General features: G+C 43.2%; 1 long non-coding RNA gene across 10 annotated transcripts in view, besides 4 other annotated features; it reads right to left on the reverse strand.

Annotated features, from left to right (window-relative positions):
- LINC-PINT (long intergenic non-protein coding RNA, p53 induced transcript) overlaps positions 1–17,511 on the reverse strand; it is a 232,364-nt gene that overhangs the window by 140,607 nt on the left and 74,246 nt on the right. The gene's annotated exons all lie outside the window — the stretch shown is intronic.
- Positions 2,502–2,796: a silencer, noted in NCBI's record as "tiled region #13565; HepG2 Repressive non-DNase unmatched - State 19:H4K20". NCBI's record gives its function as "represses a minimal TATA promoter and a strong SV40 promoter by Sharpr-MPRA in HepG2 cells {active_cell/tissue: HepG2}" and the evidence as "EXISTENCE:reporter gene assay evidence [ECO:0000049][PMID:27701403]".
- Positions 3,159–3,338: an enhancer, noted in NCBI's record as "active region_26665". NCBI's record gives its function as "activates an Ori minimal core promoter by ATAC-STARR-seq in GM12878 lymphoblastoid cells {active_cell/tissue: GM12878}" and the evidence as "EXISTENCE:reporter gene assay evidence [ECO:0000049][PMID:35858748]".
- Positions 9,272–9,411: an enhancer, noted in NCBI's record as "active region_26666". NCBI's record gives its function as "activates an Ori minimal core promoter by ATAC-STARR-seq in GM12878 lymphoblastoid cells {active_cell/tissue: GM12878}" and the evidence as "EXISTENCE:reporter gene assay evidence [ECO:0000049][PMID:35858748]".
- Positions 13,370–13,659: an enhancer, noted in NCBI's record as "active region_26667". NCBI's record gives its function as "activates an Ori minimal core promoter by ATAC-STARR-seq in GM12878 lymphoblastoid cells {active_cell/tissue: GM12878}" and the evidence as "EXISTENCE:reporter gene assay evidence [ECO:0000049][PMID:35858748]".

Below are 17,511 nucleotides of genomic sequence, written 5' to 3' on the forward strand. Positions count from 1 at the left end.
ACCTTGCACATCCCTCACTTTCCCCATTTCAGTAGATAGCACTTCCCTTTACCTAGTTGTTCAGTCTAAAAGTCTTGGAATTATCCTTGGTTCTTCTTTCTCTCATACCCTACAACCGAGCTATCAACAAATTATACCAGCTTTATCTTCAACATCCCCAATCTAACCCTTTCTTCCAACTCCCAATGCTACTAACCCTGTCTCAGCCACCACCTACCCACCTGGACCACCCCGCTCACTTGGGCCACACCACACTTCCACTCTTGTCCCCAGCACACTCCCGCTGCCCCCATAGCATCCAGTAACCCTTTACAATTAAAAGTCCTAACACACCTTTCCCCTGTCCAGGAAGGGCCTCTCAGGCCACTGGGAGTCAAATCTAAACTGCCCATCACAGCCCATCAGGCTTGCATGGACTGACCCCTGGGTACCTTTCCAATTCCATTTCCAAATGCTCTGTCCTTTGTTGCCCACTCTGCTCCAGTGACACGAGGGCTGACAGAGGTGCTCCTTTGACCTGCCCAGCACTCTCTCACCCCAGGGTGTGATTCCCCCTGCCTGGAACGCTCTTCCTCTAACTGTCACCTGCTCGGAGAGGCCTGGAGACTTAGCGAAACGTGACTCTCTATCCCTCTACTTGGCTTTGCACCTCTTCACAGCATTTATCACAACCTGACATGGCACCCCATGTTTACTGGGTGCCCCCTACCCACTAGGGCAAAAGCTCAAACAGGCAGCAATGCTGTTCTGTGCCCCACCACATCCCTAGCACTCAGAGCCAGGCCTGGTTGGTAGGAGTGCTCAATACATACTTATTAGATCAATTAATAAATAATTCTCATAGAACCATCCCTCAGAACCATCTACTGTGAATTCCTTGTCTGGAGTAAAACAACAGAAGCAAAAGCAGTCAAACTGGGAGACAGTACTATGACGGTCAGAACATATAACATGGAAGCGCTCCAAAAAGAACTGAATCCAGGTTCACATCACTAGTGCCAGGCCCTGGATATAAGCATTTTAGGTTCCCCAGAAGGATGCAGAGGTGCTAGTTTCCTGATAAGTGTAATAGATTAAATCGGACTAAATTATCTTTAGCGATCTATAAAGTGGTTCCTACATACCTTCCACGATAGATAACCCTTTTTTCCTCCTTCGGCTGTAAGTCACTTAAAATTTCAAAGCTGTGAAATATTTTAAGACTTAAGTTTGAAGTTAGCTTTTAAGGTAGCAGTAGGCAAATACAATATTTTGCTAGAAATGTATTACCAATGAGAAACATAGTTATAACAAATGCATTACAAAATAAATGAGGCTAGTATAATTTTCAGGCAGACTAAGGATGCTGCATTACTAGTAATCATACCGTAACCAATGGAGAAAAAACCCAGCACTACACAAATGACTTTTAGCTAGTTACTTCTCCAACACCTCACTATAAACTTAAAGCTAATATTCAATATGTAAATAGTCTATTCTTAGGACTTGAATTCTACTGTTTATCTAATCAGCCCTTTGAAAAAGGTGATGTGGGAGAGCAGAAAACTGTACTTGTACTAACAGGAGTTAAGAGCATGAGCTTTGCAGCCTCACCAGACCTAGACTGTATTTCCCACTCTGTGACTTGCTGTTTAAGTGACCTTGAGCAAACGACTTCACTTCTCATAGCCTCGGTTTCCTCCTCTGTAAAATGAGGATAGCCCCGGCAGTCTTGAGGAGATTTTTAAAGATTATCTGGTCAGGTACAGAGTGGCTCACACCTGTAATCCCAATACTTTGGGAAGCTGAGGCAGGCGGATCACCTGAGGTCAGAAGTTCAAGACCAGCCTGGCCAATATGGGGAAACCCCATCCCTAGGAAAAATACAAAAATTAGCCAGGTGTGGTGGTGGGTGCCGGTAGTCCCAGCTACTCAGGAGGCTGAGGCAGGAGAATTGCTTGAACCCAAGAAGCAGAGATTGCAGTGAGCTGAGATCATACCACTGCACTCCAGCCTGAGCAAGACTCCGTATCAAAAAAATAAAAAATAGAGATTATATAAAATTATGTAAATAAAATGCTCAGCATAGACTGTAGCAGTCTTTACTATATTCTACTGGAATTCTACATTGAGATGTTTCTCTCTTAGGATCACCTGAAGGGCAGTGCTGTGTCATTCTCATAATCTTTCCATCCCCAAATGCCCAGCTCGGGAACATAAATCAATGAATTATGCCTACTAAATGTTCAGATTTTGACGTGAAAGTCAACTGAAGAGATAAGACAAGAGGAAAGAAAACGAGAGGAGTAACAAGATGAGTAGAGGTAGGCTTTGAAGGAGCAGGAGGGAAGTGGGCAGCAACCCTTCCACAGTGAAGAAGAGAATCAGTGATGCAGAGGCATTAAATAGAACAGATCTGAGGCTTGGCAGAGGGAGAGGCCAACAGGAGCTCCAGACAAGCCTGGGCAACTTAGCGAGACCCTGTCTCTACAAAAAAATTTCAAAAATAGGCAGGTGTGGTGTCATGCACCTGTAGTCCCAGCTACTCAGGAGGCTGAGGCAGGAAGATCATTTGAGCCCAGGAGGTCAAGGCTTCAGGGGACTATGATCTGCACCACTGCACTCTAGCCTGGGTGACCGAGCAAGACCTTATCTCAAAAAAAAAAAAAAAAAAAAAAGAGGGGGCCAAAACTGCCACTTCAGTGCACCTTGATAATTCTCATAGGCACTGCTGAGCCTTGCAGAGGACCACACTTTCAGAATACTGTAATGGTGAAACCAGTCTATCAGGGAAATTCCTGCCCATTTCTAATCTGAAAGATGCCAGTCAAACATCCCCCCATCCATGTGTGCAGAATAAACTCTAGGGTACTATTTCTGCAGCGTGTAGAACTGCTCAGCAGCTAAGAGACGCGGTTACTGTATATGGCCTGGCACAGCATTCAGCTAAGATGATAGTGAGAAGTCCTAGGGCCCATGCAAGTGCCCGAATTCATGCAGCACAAAAGAGCCAGGTGCCGCTCACTCTGCAACAGACTCCGATCCTCCAGCAGAAGGAAGAGAACAGAAGCCCAAAATTGTTTTGCTATAGTTAAAAGAGAAAACAGACATCTGTGCGTGCCTGTTGACAGAAGTCAATTTGACAGAGATGAAATCAACAAAGACAACTAAAAGAAAGGGCAGGGAGAGAGACATAAAAACCAGGGGGTTGTCAGGTTTGGAGGCCAAGGACCAGGCAGGGACCCAGTGGCAGGTGGGATGGAGGGACCTACTGCAGGAGTGCAGTGCATGGGAAGGCAAGGAAGAAGATGACCTGCAGAAACCCTTCACCAAGTCTGCATGCAAAGGAGAGAAGAAACAGGCTGCTGAGTGAGGATGAGGGCAGAGGGGGATATTTTAAGTTTTGAAGTGCGGTGGCAAGGAGGTGCGGTATCTCCTGTGTGACAGCCTCGCTAGGCTCTATGAAGTGGAAAATTGGATCATCTGTGAAGAGGAAGCGGGGAAGAGAAGCAGGAACAAGTCTGAAGAGAGTGGGCTTGGCTTGTAACAGTCACTATGAAACCTAAGAGTGACAGCTAACCAGAGTAACATATACAATTACTGCATAGTGCCAAAGTGATTGCCTGAAATTGACATGCACCGGTACCAATCTGCCCAGGTGTATGATTTTCTCCCACAGTGCTTGGCAGCCCAGGTATGAGCAAAAGAATCAAATGATCAGGAAATGGGGGGCTTTGTCTAGAGAGTGATTTACAGTCCAGACCCTGGATTCTAGGTTGTATAAGAAAGAAAATAGGCCGGGTGCAGTAGCTCACGGCTGTAATCCCAGCACTTCGGGAGGCCGAGGCAGACAGATCACTTGAGCCCAGCGGTTCAGGAGCAGCTTGGGCAACACAGCAAAACCCTGCCTCTACAGGAAATACCAAGAAAAAAAAAATTAGCCGGGCATGGTGGCACGTGTCTGTAATCCCAGCTACCCAGGAGACTGAAGTGGGAGGATCGCTTAGCTTGAAAGGTCAAGGCTATAGACTCTTGCCTGTGAGACAGAGTGAGATCCTGTCTCAAAAAAAAGAAGGGAAATAAAAGTGGGAAGAAACTGATGGATAAGGCACCAAGTAAAGGAAACAGCAGACTACAGGTCTTAATGTAGGTACAGGTGGGGAATAAATTTTTGTGGCAAGGTGGATGGGCACGAAGAAGTGGGCGAATAGGGAATTTCTTTTATTTATTAATTTATTTTTAGAGACAGCCTCATCCTGTCACCCAGGCTAGAGTGTGGTGGCATCATCATAGCTCACTGTAGCCTCTAACTCCTTGGGTAAGTAATCCTCCTGCCTCAGCCTCTTGAGTAGTTAGAACTACAGGCATTTGCCACCAGGCCTGGTTATTTTTATTATTATTTATTTATTTATTAATTTATTTTTGAGACAGAGTCTTGCTCTATCGCCCACGATGGAGTGCAGTGGCATGATCTCGGCTCACTGCAACCTCCGCCTCCTGGGTTCAAGCGATTCTCCTGCCTCAGCCTCCCGAGTAGCTGGGATTACAGGTGCATGTCACCATGCCCAGCTAATTTTCTGTATTTTTAGTAGAGACAGTGTTTCACCATGCTGGCCAGGCTGGTCTCGAACTCCTGACCTCATGATCTGCCCACCTCAGCCTCCCAAAGTGCTGGGATTACAGGTGTGAGCCACCGTGCCCAGCCAGCCTGGTTAATTTTTAAAAATTTTTTGTAGCGGCAGAGTCTCACTATGTTGCCCGGGCTGGTCTCTAACTCCTGGCCTCAAGTGATCTTCCCGCCTCAGTCTCCCAAAGTGTTGGGATTACAGGTGTGAACCACTGTACCTGGCCTCAAATTTCTGACTTGCTGATCTGAGCTGTAAGTAGACAAGGTCTAAAGACTGGAGGGTTTGAGAGCAGCTGAGAAGATCACTGGTGATGAGGAGCCCGATACGGTTTTGTTCTATGTCTCCACGCAAATCTCACCTTGAATTTTACTAATCCCCACGTGTCAAGGGTGGGGCCAGGTGGAGGTAACTGAATCATGGGGACAGTTTCCCCCAGGCTGTTCTCATGATGGTGAGTTCCCACGAGATCTGATGGTTTTATAAGGGGCTTCCCCCTTTGCTCAGCACTCATTCTCTCTCCTGCCGCCCTGTGAAGAGGAGCCTTCCACCATAACTGTAAGGTTCCTGAGGCCTCCCCAGCCATGCAGAACTGTGAGTCAATTAAACCCCTTTTCTTTATAAATTATCCAGTCTTGGGTATGTCTTTATTAGCAGCAGACTAATACAAACCCAAAACCCAAGCAGTCACAGAAACAGATGGGTTGTCTAATGAAGCTGAAGCAGGGTGGCAAGCAATGAGCCAGTCATTAATGATGAGTAGGAGTGATGGGAAAGTCAGCAGAGCACAGTTACAAGGTGGACAAAAGGATGTGTCTTACCCATGGCTGATGCTCCAAAGAGGAGGGTTATCACACGAGGGGGGAAAAGCAATGATCCAGGACAGCCATGACAAGAATGCGTGCCACCAATCCCACCTTCTGAACAGTTACATCTCTGTAATGTTAAAACTAATCTACCTGATCAGGTCATTCCTGCCAATTTTTAATCTGGAAGATGCACATCAATCTTTCCCCTGCCTTTATACCAAATAAATACTATTTCTACAGGTTTTCCAAGTAAAATCTTCAATGAATGGAAAATCTATCTTAAGGCTTTCAAAAAGGATCACACATTTACCCACAAGCTTACAGGGTATAAGTAATTTTTATTAATTTTTTAATGCCAAGTGTTTATTATATCTTATACCAACTGGAAACAAAGTTTTGCCTCAAAATTAGAAATCTATTTCCTTGTCATTTGTACTGGAGATGCAGGGATCTGGTATATTTTTACTGTCTCCTGGTCTTCCAATATTTTGTCACTCATTTAACTTACAGTCTCATATATGATGCATCGTTTTATGTTACTAGAGGTATTTCATGGGGAAGTTTAGCTCTTCTGCTCCTCTGAATCATCTTGTCTCCTTTGGGAAAATTTAATTGATATCCACACCTCTGTTTTCCATTTTCCCAACTGAATGCTCCCCTGTTCTGCCATAGCACTCTATGGATAGCTCTGTTATTGCACTTAATACACTCAAATGTCAACCATAGCAAACTTTGTAACCTTGGGCAAGCACTTAATCTCTCTGGGTCTCAACTTACTTATGTATAAAATGGAGAAAATAACAGTAAGAACTTCATCAGGCTATTTATCCACTCATGAGCTAATGCCCAGAAAGTAGTTAGAACAGCACCTTCCATATAGTAAGTGCTACTGAAGTTTTTGCTATTAGTATCATGATATGCATTTGCACGTCTCTCCTTTCAGATTTGTCTGCACCTTTAAAATGGGGACTAGGTCTTAATCTCTGTATCCGCAGTGCCTAGTATAGTGAATAAATGCATGCATCAATTGATCAGTTTTTTTTTTTTTTTTTTCTGAGACAGGTTCTCTCTCTGTCATCCAGGCTGAAGTGCAGTGGTGCCCACTGCAGCCTCAACATCCTGGACTCAATCAATCCTCCCATCTCAGCTGTCCCTGTAGCTGGGACTACAGGTGGGTACCACCAAGCCCAGCTAATTTTTGTATTTTTTTTGTAGATACAAGGTTTTACCATGTTGCCCAGGCTGGTCTTGAATTCCTAGGCTCAAGCAATCCGCCTCTCTGGGTCTCCCAAAGTGCTAGGATTATAGGTGTGAGCCACTGTGCCCAGCCCCATTAGTTTTTATCTCACAAAAAAGTAAAAATGTAGATATTAAAAATAATAGGCCAAAGCATCACCTTATTTATAACCCATCTTGTTTGAAAAGTAATTTAAGGCAGTTCATAAAGTACAGTCTGACATTTCAAATATGTAACTTAAATGAAACAAGTTAAAATTAAGGGTGCAGCACCTTGGGGGTTGAGGCAAGAGGACTGTTTGAGCCCAAGAGTTCAAGACCAGCCACGGCAACACAGTGAGACCCCATCTCTAATGATTAAAAAAAAAAACAAATAAAATTAAAGGTAGAACTGTATCATCAATACCACTAAAATGTCAGTGTCAAAATAAACTTCTTAAGAATTAAGTACACTTACATATATTTGGACTGTAAGAATAAGAAATTTTTCACTATTGCTACAGAAAAAGGAAAAAAAATGTCCAGAGATGTAGCTCTAGACAAGCGTTTGCTATGTGGATTTCTTTCACAGATCTAGGTATCTAGGGAGGAGAAAAACTCCATAACAACTGAGGTCTCCTACTTAATATGCGACAATTCTGCAGTAGGGAAGTCCCAAAGTTGTTGGTGACAGAAGGAAAACAACTGGGGCATCCAAAAAAATTCAAATGATTGTGGCTTAAGTTCCAAATGTTCATGATGCCCACAGATGCTCAGCGTGGGGAGGTGGCTCCTCTCCATCTCCAGTAGAAAACAGCCACTTCCCACATCTCACCCGTGTTTAACATTTCTACAGGACACCTATCTAGGACCATAACACCACCCTATGTAAAACTACCAGTGCTAAGATTCTGTCATTCTGGTTCTTTTCAGATAGTAATTATTTCTAAAACTGTTGAAAATGAGGGCTGGGCATGGTGGCTCACGCCTGTAATCCCAGCACTTTGGGAGGCCAAGGCGGGCGGATCACCTGAGTTCAGGAGTTCGAGACCAGCCTGACTAACGTGGAGAAACCCTGTCTCTACTAAAAGTACAAAATTAGCCGGGCGTGGTGACGCGTGCCTATAATCCCAGCTACTCGGGAGGCTTAGGAAGGAGAATCGCTTGAACCCAGGAAGCAGAGGTTGCAGCGAGCTGAGATGGCGCCACTGCACTCCAGCCTGGGCAATAAGAGCGAATCTCCATCTCAAAAAAAAAGAAAGTGAGTCTCACATAACTAGCAGAACTTTCCTCTTTCACTGGCACATGAAAAAAAAAAAGCCACCTTTTTCATTAAAATGTTAAAATGGAATTTAATGAAAAGTCTGTGTTAAAGTCTGGGAGTGGTAGTGTTTCACAGAGGAAGAAAAATGTTTCTCATATCCTTCAGGTCACCTGAGTAGAAACCTATATAAAAAGGGTGAGTGTGAAGAGTTAAGAGGAAAACCTTTAGCAAACTGAGGTTGTTTCTACTTGCTAAAAGGGTCTCTCATTTCTATTCATGAATGGCCTTTCTACGCTTTCTCCTGAGCCACAGAAGAGGACATTTCAGCACAATCTAAGGTAGACTGAAACAAGTAAAACATCTGGATAAACTCCCCCATGAACACTGAAAAAAGAAACATGACTAATAAGCTCTCTTCTCCACATGCTGGAGATTCTACTGATGGTAACACATTCAGATACAAACACGTGAACCAATAATAACCAACCTCACTGCTAAAGCAGTCACTTGAAGCGATAACCTCACTTCTGCTTTCCCAAATAGGTGAGTATAAAATATATACATATATATATGAACATTCCCTTCCAAGACAGAGCATTAAAAAGATAAAGCAACACACACACATACACACACACACGCACACACACACCCCCCTTAATAACAGTGTGTGTCCTTTAATTAAATGTTGGCCTTTTTAATTTACTTATTTTAAGTTGTTGTTTCTGTGATCTCAATCTGACAAGGATTGCATTTGAGGATTAAAATTGCCGAGCACATACCTTTTTAGTTCCTCATCTTTTAATTACTACATAAGTGGTTGCCTAGGAAACCTCCAGACCGAATGATGAAACTCAAATGAATTCTCCTTTCTAAGCTTGCAGGTTTGACTCACTACCTTTGCTCCCCAAAAACTAAGTCCTCCGGAATTATTAAAGCCAGATATTTTTGCAACCTGGATGACATGCGAAAAAAAACATAAGAGGTGAATAATTATTTATTCTGAATACAGGTTTCTTAGGGAAATAAAAGTTAAAAAGGCCAAGTCCCTACTCACAGCAAATTCAGAAGAGAAATGCATGTCTTCAAATATACCCATACTATCTGTTACCAGGTAATTGTGGAGTGTTATTTTATGGCAGTATGTTAACATGGTAGTGATTAAACATTATAATGAAAGACAATAGAGAAGAACCTGGGAAAGCAGACCATGGAGACACCAAAGCAAAATAATGTCAGAGGGGGTGCAACCCCCCAATCACTGCAGAAATCACCCCTAGCTCCGCCCCCAGCTCCGCCCCCAGCTCTGGTTCCCTGTCCTTTCTTACAATCTGGCTCTACCTCTGCCCAGAATGACATGACATCATCACTGAACAGTGGCAAGAAAACATAGATCTATTTTGCTGTATGCCAAGTAAACAGGGCTGATCACCATACACAAATATGTATGCAACTTAGCATAAACGCATCTCAGAAGATTCTGTTTTAACCACAGCAGATGCACTGAAGTAGGCTCATCTGGCGGCCCTCGGAGGAAGGACCGAGTGTTGCATAATTCCAGCAAATGAGAGCAGAAATACTGAGAACAGCCAGAACACCCAGGCCAGATGGTACTGTGGTTCTGAAGCAGTGCCTGAGGCTAGAGACGTGAGCAGGCCCGGGAAAGACAGAGATGGGGCAAGTGGGCTCAGTGGCTGGAGGCAGAGTACACTCAGCAGAAGGCCTTTGACTACTTTCTCTCAGCCCTGATCTCAAAGTCTGGCTGCTTCCTCTAACATCCTTGCATCATGATCTTACCATCATTTACTTTAAATTTAAAAATTTTGAACCAACTCTTCTGGAGGAAAAGCAACAACCAATTTCCACCTCCATCCCCCCAGCTATGCTTCTGCCTCGGGGTAGAGGAGTTTGAGTAGGAGAGGAAAAGACAGATCAGAACTCAAGGCTCTCAGGCTGGGCACGGTGTGGCTCTTGCCTGTATTCCCAGCACTTTGAGAGGCCAAGGCAGGTGGATCACTTGAGGTCAGGACTTTGAGACCAGCCTGGCTAACATGGTGAAATACTGTCTCTACTAAAAATACAAAAATTAGCTGGGCATGGTGGGATGCGCCTGTAATCCCAGCTATTTGGGAGGCTGAGGCAGGAGAATTGCTTGAACCCAGGAGGCGGAGGTTGCAGTGAGCCGAGATTGTGCCACTGCACTCAATCAAGCCTAGGCAACAGAGCAAGACTCCATCTCAAAAAAAAGACAAAAAACAAAAAACAAAAAAACTCAAAGCCCTCATCATTTCTCCCCAGGATAACTAAACTTTTCTGCCAACTACTATTCCCACTGCTCCAACCTCACACTGCAGCTAATCCACTCCCTACAAGGATGGTCGAGATTTTCCTCCACTTAAATGAATTCCCTCCCTGGCTTCCACACTGCCCTCAGGATGAAAACCCAAGTTCCTCTCAGCTTAGTTTAGAAAGCTCTTCACCAGGTAGGTCCTTGAAAAACTTGATTGCATTCCACTGTAATCTCAAAATTGTCAAAGAAAAACTGTTCCGTACCTGGTCTGGAATAGAACCAAGTGGTCTGCTAGAAAATTCACAGTATCCTACTAGGAAGAAATGAACAGCATTCCAGGGAAAAAAAAAAAAAAAAGCTTGCTTTTTTTCTAATGCAATTTCCTAAATGAACTTTAAGGAAATTAAGACTTGCTCTGGGCAACTCATTACCATCTACCCGGCTGACTGTCAACTATCAGAGTGTAGAGGTTTTTAACCAGACATTCGTTTCAATGATGATATTTAATCACTTTCTTCCCTTAATGTCCCTACCAAGAGCGAATCATTGAATGTGCCTACTGCAGGACTCTCTCCTTGCATTGCAAAGCTAAAACAAACTGTTGGCACATGCTCAAAATTAAACTGTCCGAAAAGTTTTAACAAATGCTACCTAACCTAAAGCAGGTCCTTTTACCCTGCAGTCCCCAGGACACTTTTTGGTCTCTGGCCTCCTTGGGCCTTCCAATACTCAGCAACCTCCTCCAGGTAGCACCCACCAGGGCTGACACTTTCCCTCACTCTCTGCCCCAACCCCCCAATGGCAACTCCCATCTTCTCTGGTTAACCTCTATTCATCTCCAAAGTCCATGTCAATCATAGGTCAAATGTTAGTTCCTCCAGGAGAACTTGCCAAGAGGCTGGACCCAAGTCCTTCCAGATGCTTCAGTATCAGAGCTGTTACTGTACTGCACTGCATTTATCTCACCAGAGTGGAAGCTCACTGAGGACAGCACAGGGCCTTTTTATTTCTGTATTCCCCACCCTATCACAGAGCCTGGCTCAAAATGAGCACATCCTAAATGTTTGTTGAATGCATGAAATGCCAACAGCCAAGTGCAGGAGTCAACCTTCCAGGCGAAGGTGTTCCATTTCCTTGTGTAATTCACCTTTAGGTGCTCTGTGTTTGCACCAAGCCAAAAATCAGATGGGATAACCTGATGTTAAGGCTGTTGTTTCTACATCTTAGTGTTAAGGAGGGAGACAAAGCTGGGGAAAATGTACTGAAAGGGGTCATCACTGTGCAGTCTAGTAACCAACCCTAAAATGCAGCCTCCCTGCGGACCGAGGTGGAACTAGTCTGCCAGGCAGCCCCGGCAGCACTCTCCTGAGGACCTGGCGCAGAGCGGGTAGTCCTGGAGTGACTCAACCCGCTGAAAAGCATGGACAAGCCCGCCCGTCTGAGAGGAAGAAATGTTTAAATATAAAATTTCCTAAAATGTTTAAACCAGAGGAAAAATACAGAAATCTTTTAGAGGCGAAGCAAAATGAAAAGACAGATAACACCTTTAAAGCAGCCTTATAGATCTGAATCTTCTTGGCACAAGAACATAAAAATTTAGTTGTTTTATGAAAATATCATGTTAGGTAAGTTCCGGGGATGTCAGGGCCTGAGAGTGAACCAGGAATATTCAGGAAAAATTCTTTTTTATTATTGTGGTTTGTTGGCTTTTGCATGAGAGTGGGAGGACTTTTATTTTTTATTTTTATTTTTTTGAGACAAGAATCTTGCTCTGTTGACCTCTGAGGCTCAAGCAATTCTCTTGCCTCGGCCTCCTAAGTAGCTGGGACTACAGGTGTGCACCACCACACTCAGCCAATTTCTTTTGTCATAGAGGCAGTGTTTCAATCTGTTGCCTAGGCTGGTCTCAAACTCCTGAGCTCAAGTGATCTTTCTGCCTCAGTCTCTCAATGTGCTGGGATTACAGATGGGAGCTACCTCAACCAGCCCTGGATGACTTTTAAATGCCTTAAGAGAAAGACAGTCTGTTCCACTGCAATTTCCCCCTGGCCTTTCAGATCTCTGGGAATACTCTCAATAAGAACAAACTTTCCCTGAGGACTGGACCTGGTGCTGGAGGACAAAGGGAATGCCCAGGGACTTAGTAGTTTTCTTCTCATTTAAGACAACTTCCATCTGGTACATCTGCAAGGGTGCTTCAGAGTGGAAGGACTGATGGCAGGTTCCTGTCTACCACTGAGGCTTTTCCCATGTTCTTAGAGGGATAGAGGAGGGTGATGGAACACACTGAAATGGGAACCCCCTGTCCCCACAGAAACCATGATATTCTCCTACACTAACACTAGAAAGTCCCAGAACAACATAGGTGGTCCCCACAGATGTTCTTTAACTAACTTCCTTTTTTTTTTTTTTTTTTTTTTGAGACTGAGTTTTGCTCTTGTTGCCCAGGCTGGAGTGCAGTGGCGCAATCTCAGCTCACCGCAACCTCCGCCTCCCGGGTTCAAGAGATTCTCCTGCCTCAGCCTCCCAAGTAGCTGGGATTACAGGCACGTGCCACCACACCTGGCTAATTTTTTTTTGTATTTTTAGTAGAGATGGGGTTTCTCCATGTTGGTCAGGCTGGTCTCGAACTCCTGACCTCTCAAGTGATCCGCCCACCTCGGCCTCCCAAAGTGCTGGGATTATAGGCGTGAGCCACCACGCCTGGCATAACTAACTTTCCTATAGTGTGCTAATTACAAGATGATCTACCTTATAATTTGATTTATCACAGTTCTTTATCTCAGTATATTTTTCCAAAAGGGACTCAACATTTATCATCTTTTTGAAGGTCATTTCAAAGCCTTAGAAACTGGCCTCAACAGTAACTGCAGGAAGCATACTTGTCAGATCTGAGCAATAAAAATACACCCTGACTGCTGAGCCTGGAGCACGGGAGAGCCTACAGCTAACCAGGGAAGACATGGTGAGTTCAGTAAAAGGCAGGTAAGGAGGAGCCTTGTGTCCAAAGCTCTGTAAAATTTTCTTTACTTGCTGCATAAAAAATAAAAAGACTCAGAATATATCCAAAGATCTTATATTTAATAGGCCTTTAACCTGAGAACAAATCAATTAATTTTTAGATTTCATTTTATCATGCTCATTCTTATACATCCATACTTAGAAAAAAGAATGAGTAATATTAAAACAAAGTAGCGGCACACTCAACAGACCTCACACCACTGAGATATGAGACGAATGCAATCATATCCTACATTCTACACATATCTGAAAACTTTAAAAGAAACTTACAGAACGTGTGGGAATCCCCCGCATGAAATTAAGAATTGTTTGACTGACTAAAAGTAGAATTGAAGGGCCGAAGAAAGGATTTCCCCTGTGGTTGATTAAGAACATTATTCTTGTTTTGAGTCGTCATACCAAGTGACCATGAAGTGAGAAGACTTGTTAAAATGCATTTTTTGAACTTTTTCCCTTGGTGCTAGATCCCAAGACTGGCTTAAAGACAAAATACTGTAACATACTCAAACTTTTTAAAATAAGTTAACAGTAACACCAAGAAGAGGGAACACGAAGTTCTACTGTTCTTCTTAAATAAGTTGACAGTAACCCCATGAAGAGGAAACACGAAGTTCTAATGTTCTGAAAAGACACTTTAATCAGTCCACCTTAATGGAATGCCTGCAACTGAGGATGAAATAAAATGTCTGCAAATGTGGGTTTGAAAATTGGTCATATAAATCATCACAAAATGTATCACAAGGTTTTTTGAAACAGTAAGTTTCCTAAAACATGTGACATGATGATTCAATGAACAAATACAACATTTATATACATCTCTTCAAGAACATTCCTATTATATCTAAAACAGTAACATATTCTTCTTTAATCCATATTTTAGCAAATGGATTTGAAGTGAAAATGTAAAGAAAGTTATCTGAGTGGAAAGGAAAATCAGACAAAAATGATCAAATTCATTAAGAATTTCACCCTCACAAACATGAAAACAACAAGCTATCTGAAATCTGAACTCCTGAGGTTCAACTACTCTACAAGCAGAAGTGTGTGGAAGATCAAACTACTCATGATGTTAGGGGCCGGGCGTGGTGGTTCACACCTGTAATCCCAGCACTTTGGGAGGCCAAGGAGGATGGATCACAAGGTCAGGATTTTGAGACCAGTCTGGCCAATATGCTGAAACCCCATCTCTACTAAAAATACAAAAATTAGCCAGGCATGGTGGCACGTGCCTGTAGTCCCAGCTACTCAGGGGGCTGAGGCAGGAGAATTGCTTGAACCCAGGAGGCAGAGGTTGCAGTGAGCCGAAATCATGCCATTGCATTCCAGCCTGGGTGACAGAGCGAGACACCATCTCAAAAAAACAACCAACCAACCAACTATTCATGATGTCAGAGAGCATTCAAAGTCATAAATGTTTAATTTATACATAAAAACATCAGATTTATCAGAATAAACATATTTTGGTATTTATTAGGTAAGCTGCAGTGTGGATAAAACATTCATATACTAAACTTTATTCCCTGGCAGTAGAAGAAAAAGGAGGCATTCTTATGCCAGAAGAAGGAAGTACAATCTGTGTAGGCGAATGAGCAGAACGGAGTAGCTGATGCAGTAGAAGGATGATGTATTTTACAGAGCATGAAGATTTTAAAAGTAAAACCAGGCAGGGTGCGGTAGCTAACGCCTGTATTCCCAGCACTCTGGGAAGCTGAGGCGGGCAGATCACTTGAGGTCAGCAGTTTGAGACCAGCCTGGCCAACATGGTGCAACCCCATCTCTACTAAAATTACAAAAATTAGCCAGGCGTGGTGGCACACACTTGTAATCCCAGCTACTTGGGAGGCTGAGGCAGGAGAATGGCTTGAACCCGGGAGGCGGAGGTTGCAGTGGGCTGAGATCATGCCACTGCACTCCAGCCTGGGTGACAGAGAGACTCTATCTCAAAAAAAAAAAAAAACAACAATAAACCAAATGTATGAGGAGTGGAAGAAAGATTCAACATAGCTACTAACTACTTCCAATACTTCTTAAGTTTAGAATAAATTTTTATTCATTCTTAAGGCTCTAAACACAAACTCTATATTCAGCGTCAAAAAATATTAGGTATGGCTTCAAATATAACTGGGTACCAACAGATAAGACAAGTAACAAAACTTTTAACTTGGGACTATGCAGTGCTTGGTGACTTGCTTCCACAGAGCAGAGTATTGGAAAGGGGAAACAAATTTCCATGGTCAAGGTGAGCATCAGCAGTGGTAAGTCACGTTGATGGCGTTCTCTTTTCACACGGATGTGATAAGGATATCCCTTCACCTCTGTGATTGTCCTCCCAAAAACCCACATCCCAGTCTAATAATCAGAAAAACATGAAAAAAATCCAAACTAAGGCACATTCTGCAAAATACCTGCCCAGTATTCCTCAAAACTGACGAGGCTATCAAAAACAAACATCTCAGAAACGATCATAGACTGGAGGACTTTAAGGAGACATGGTGGCTAAATGTGCTGTGATATCCTGAGTGCAGAACGGAAAAAGGACATTCGGAAAAACGGGTGAGCTCTGAATAAAATGTGGATTTTAGTTAACAGTAAAGTACCAATGTTTCTTCCTTAATTGTGACAAATGTAACATAATAATGTAAGAGTCAGCAACAGGAATCACTGAGTGAGGGGCATATGGAAACTCTGTACTATCTTTGAACTTGTCTTCAAATGTATAATTATTCCAAAATAAAGAGTTTATTTAAATTTTTAAAAACTAGGCCAACAGCACTGAGGTGTGGTCCTTCAGGTGTGCACCTCAGCCTTGGCTGCAGCCACAGGGGCAAGCACAGGCGTGGGTCCTGGTCACCCCGCTTGCTGACCAACAGACACACTGGCCAATTTGGGAACCTGTCTCCGATGCCAGCAGACCACAGATGGCATGCATGCGACAAGAACAAACATCTCTGAAGTGCCTAACACCCCCATCTGAAGTGAAAAATAGGCAATTTTATGCAAGAAAAAAAAGACAAGGCCTAAACAGGTTGGCTGGGAGCCATCAGTGCTCTGTGAAAACACATGACAAACCAGCCTTCAGACTTCACTTGGCAAATACCACTGCCAGCATCCAGGCAGGTGTGAAACAGTTATACAGACTTCTCTTGCATACCCAGCAGGCTCTGTGTCCTGTTTCCTCGCCACAAAAAAAAGGTAAGTCAGAGAAGTGGGGATATAGAATTCCTTTAAATATCTGCGGGAGAAAGTAGCTCACACACAAAAAAGATTTCTTCAACCAAGCAGCAGTTAGTATCTATTTTCAGGAATCTGTCCAGCCAGGGAACACGTGGCACCATGAGAGTCCTGTTTCATAAGGGGGAGGCAGCAAGGCCTGTGCAGTGCTGTTCAATATAGAAAAACATTTTATCCTTACAGAATAAACACGTGGCAGGATTGCGTTTGCTGCAGTGGATTTCTTTAATTACATTGAATTTTAATCCAAAAAGAGATCTGGGGGATTTATCTGCTCTAACCAAAAAGTTCCAGAATTTATGAACTAGATGAATATGTAGCACTCATTAGGCCAGAAAATTAAAATATAAATGCCTTTAAGGTTTTTTTGTTTTTTGTTTTTTTGTTTTTTTAAGAAAATTAACACAGTGTAGGCCAGGCATGGTGGCTCAAGCCTGTAATCCCAAACACTTTGGGAGGCGGAGGCAGGTGGATCACTTGAGGTCAGAAGTTCAAGACCAGCCTGGCCAACATGGTAAAACCCCATCTCTACTAAAAATAAAAAATTAGCCAGGCGTGGTACTGGGTGCCTGTAATCCTAGCTACTGGGTAGGCAGGAGAATGGCTTGGACCCGGGAGGCAGAGGTTGTGGTGAGCCAAGATCAGGCTGCTGCACTCCAGTGTGGGTGACAGAGCAAGACTCCATCTCGAAGGAAAAGAAGGAAAAGAAGGAAGGAAGGAAGGAAGGAAGGAAGGAAGGAAGCAAGGAAGGAAGGAAGGAAAAGAAGAAGAAGAAGAAAAAGGAAAAGAAGGAAAAGAAAGAAAAGAAGGAAGGAAGGAAGGAAGGAAGGAAGGAAGGAAGGAAGGAAGGAAGGAAGGAAAATAAATTAATACAGTATCAGTCAAAATTATCATAGTTTTACAAGAAAGTTGACCAAATTATTTTCATTTATCCGAGAGAAAAGTGATGCAGAAGTAGCCCAGAAAAATTCCGAAAAAACAATAACAATAATGATGTTCAACCACATACAAACATTTATTATACAGCTCTGATAATTAAAACAGCATGGCAGTAGAACTAGAATAGACAGACGTGTCCAC

Source organism: Homo sapiens, chromosome 7 (assembly GCF_000001405.40).
Source record: "Homo sapiens chromosome 7, GRCh38.p14 Primary Assembly".
Lineage (NCBI taxonomy): Eukaryota > Metazoa > Chordata > Mammalia > Primates > Hominidae > Homo > Homo sapiens.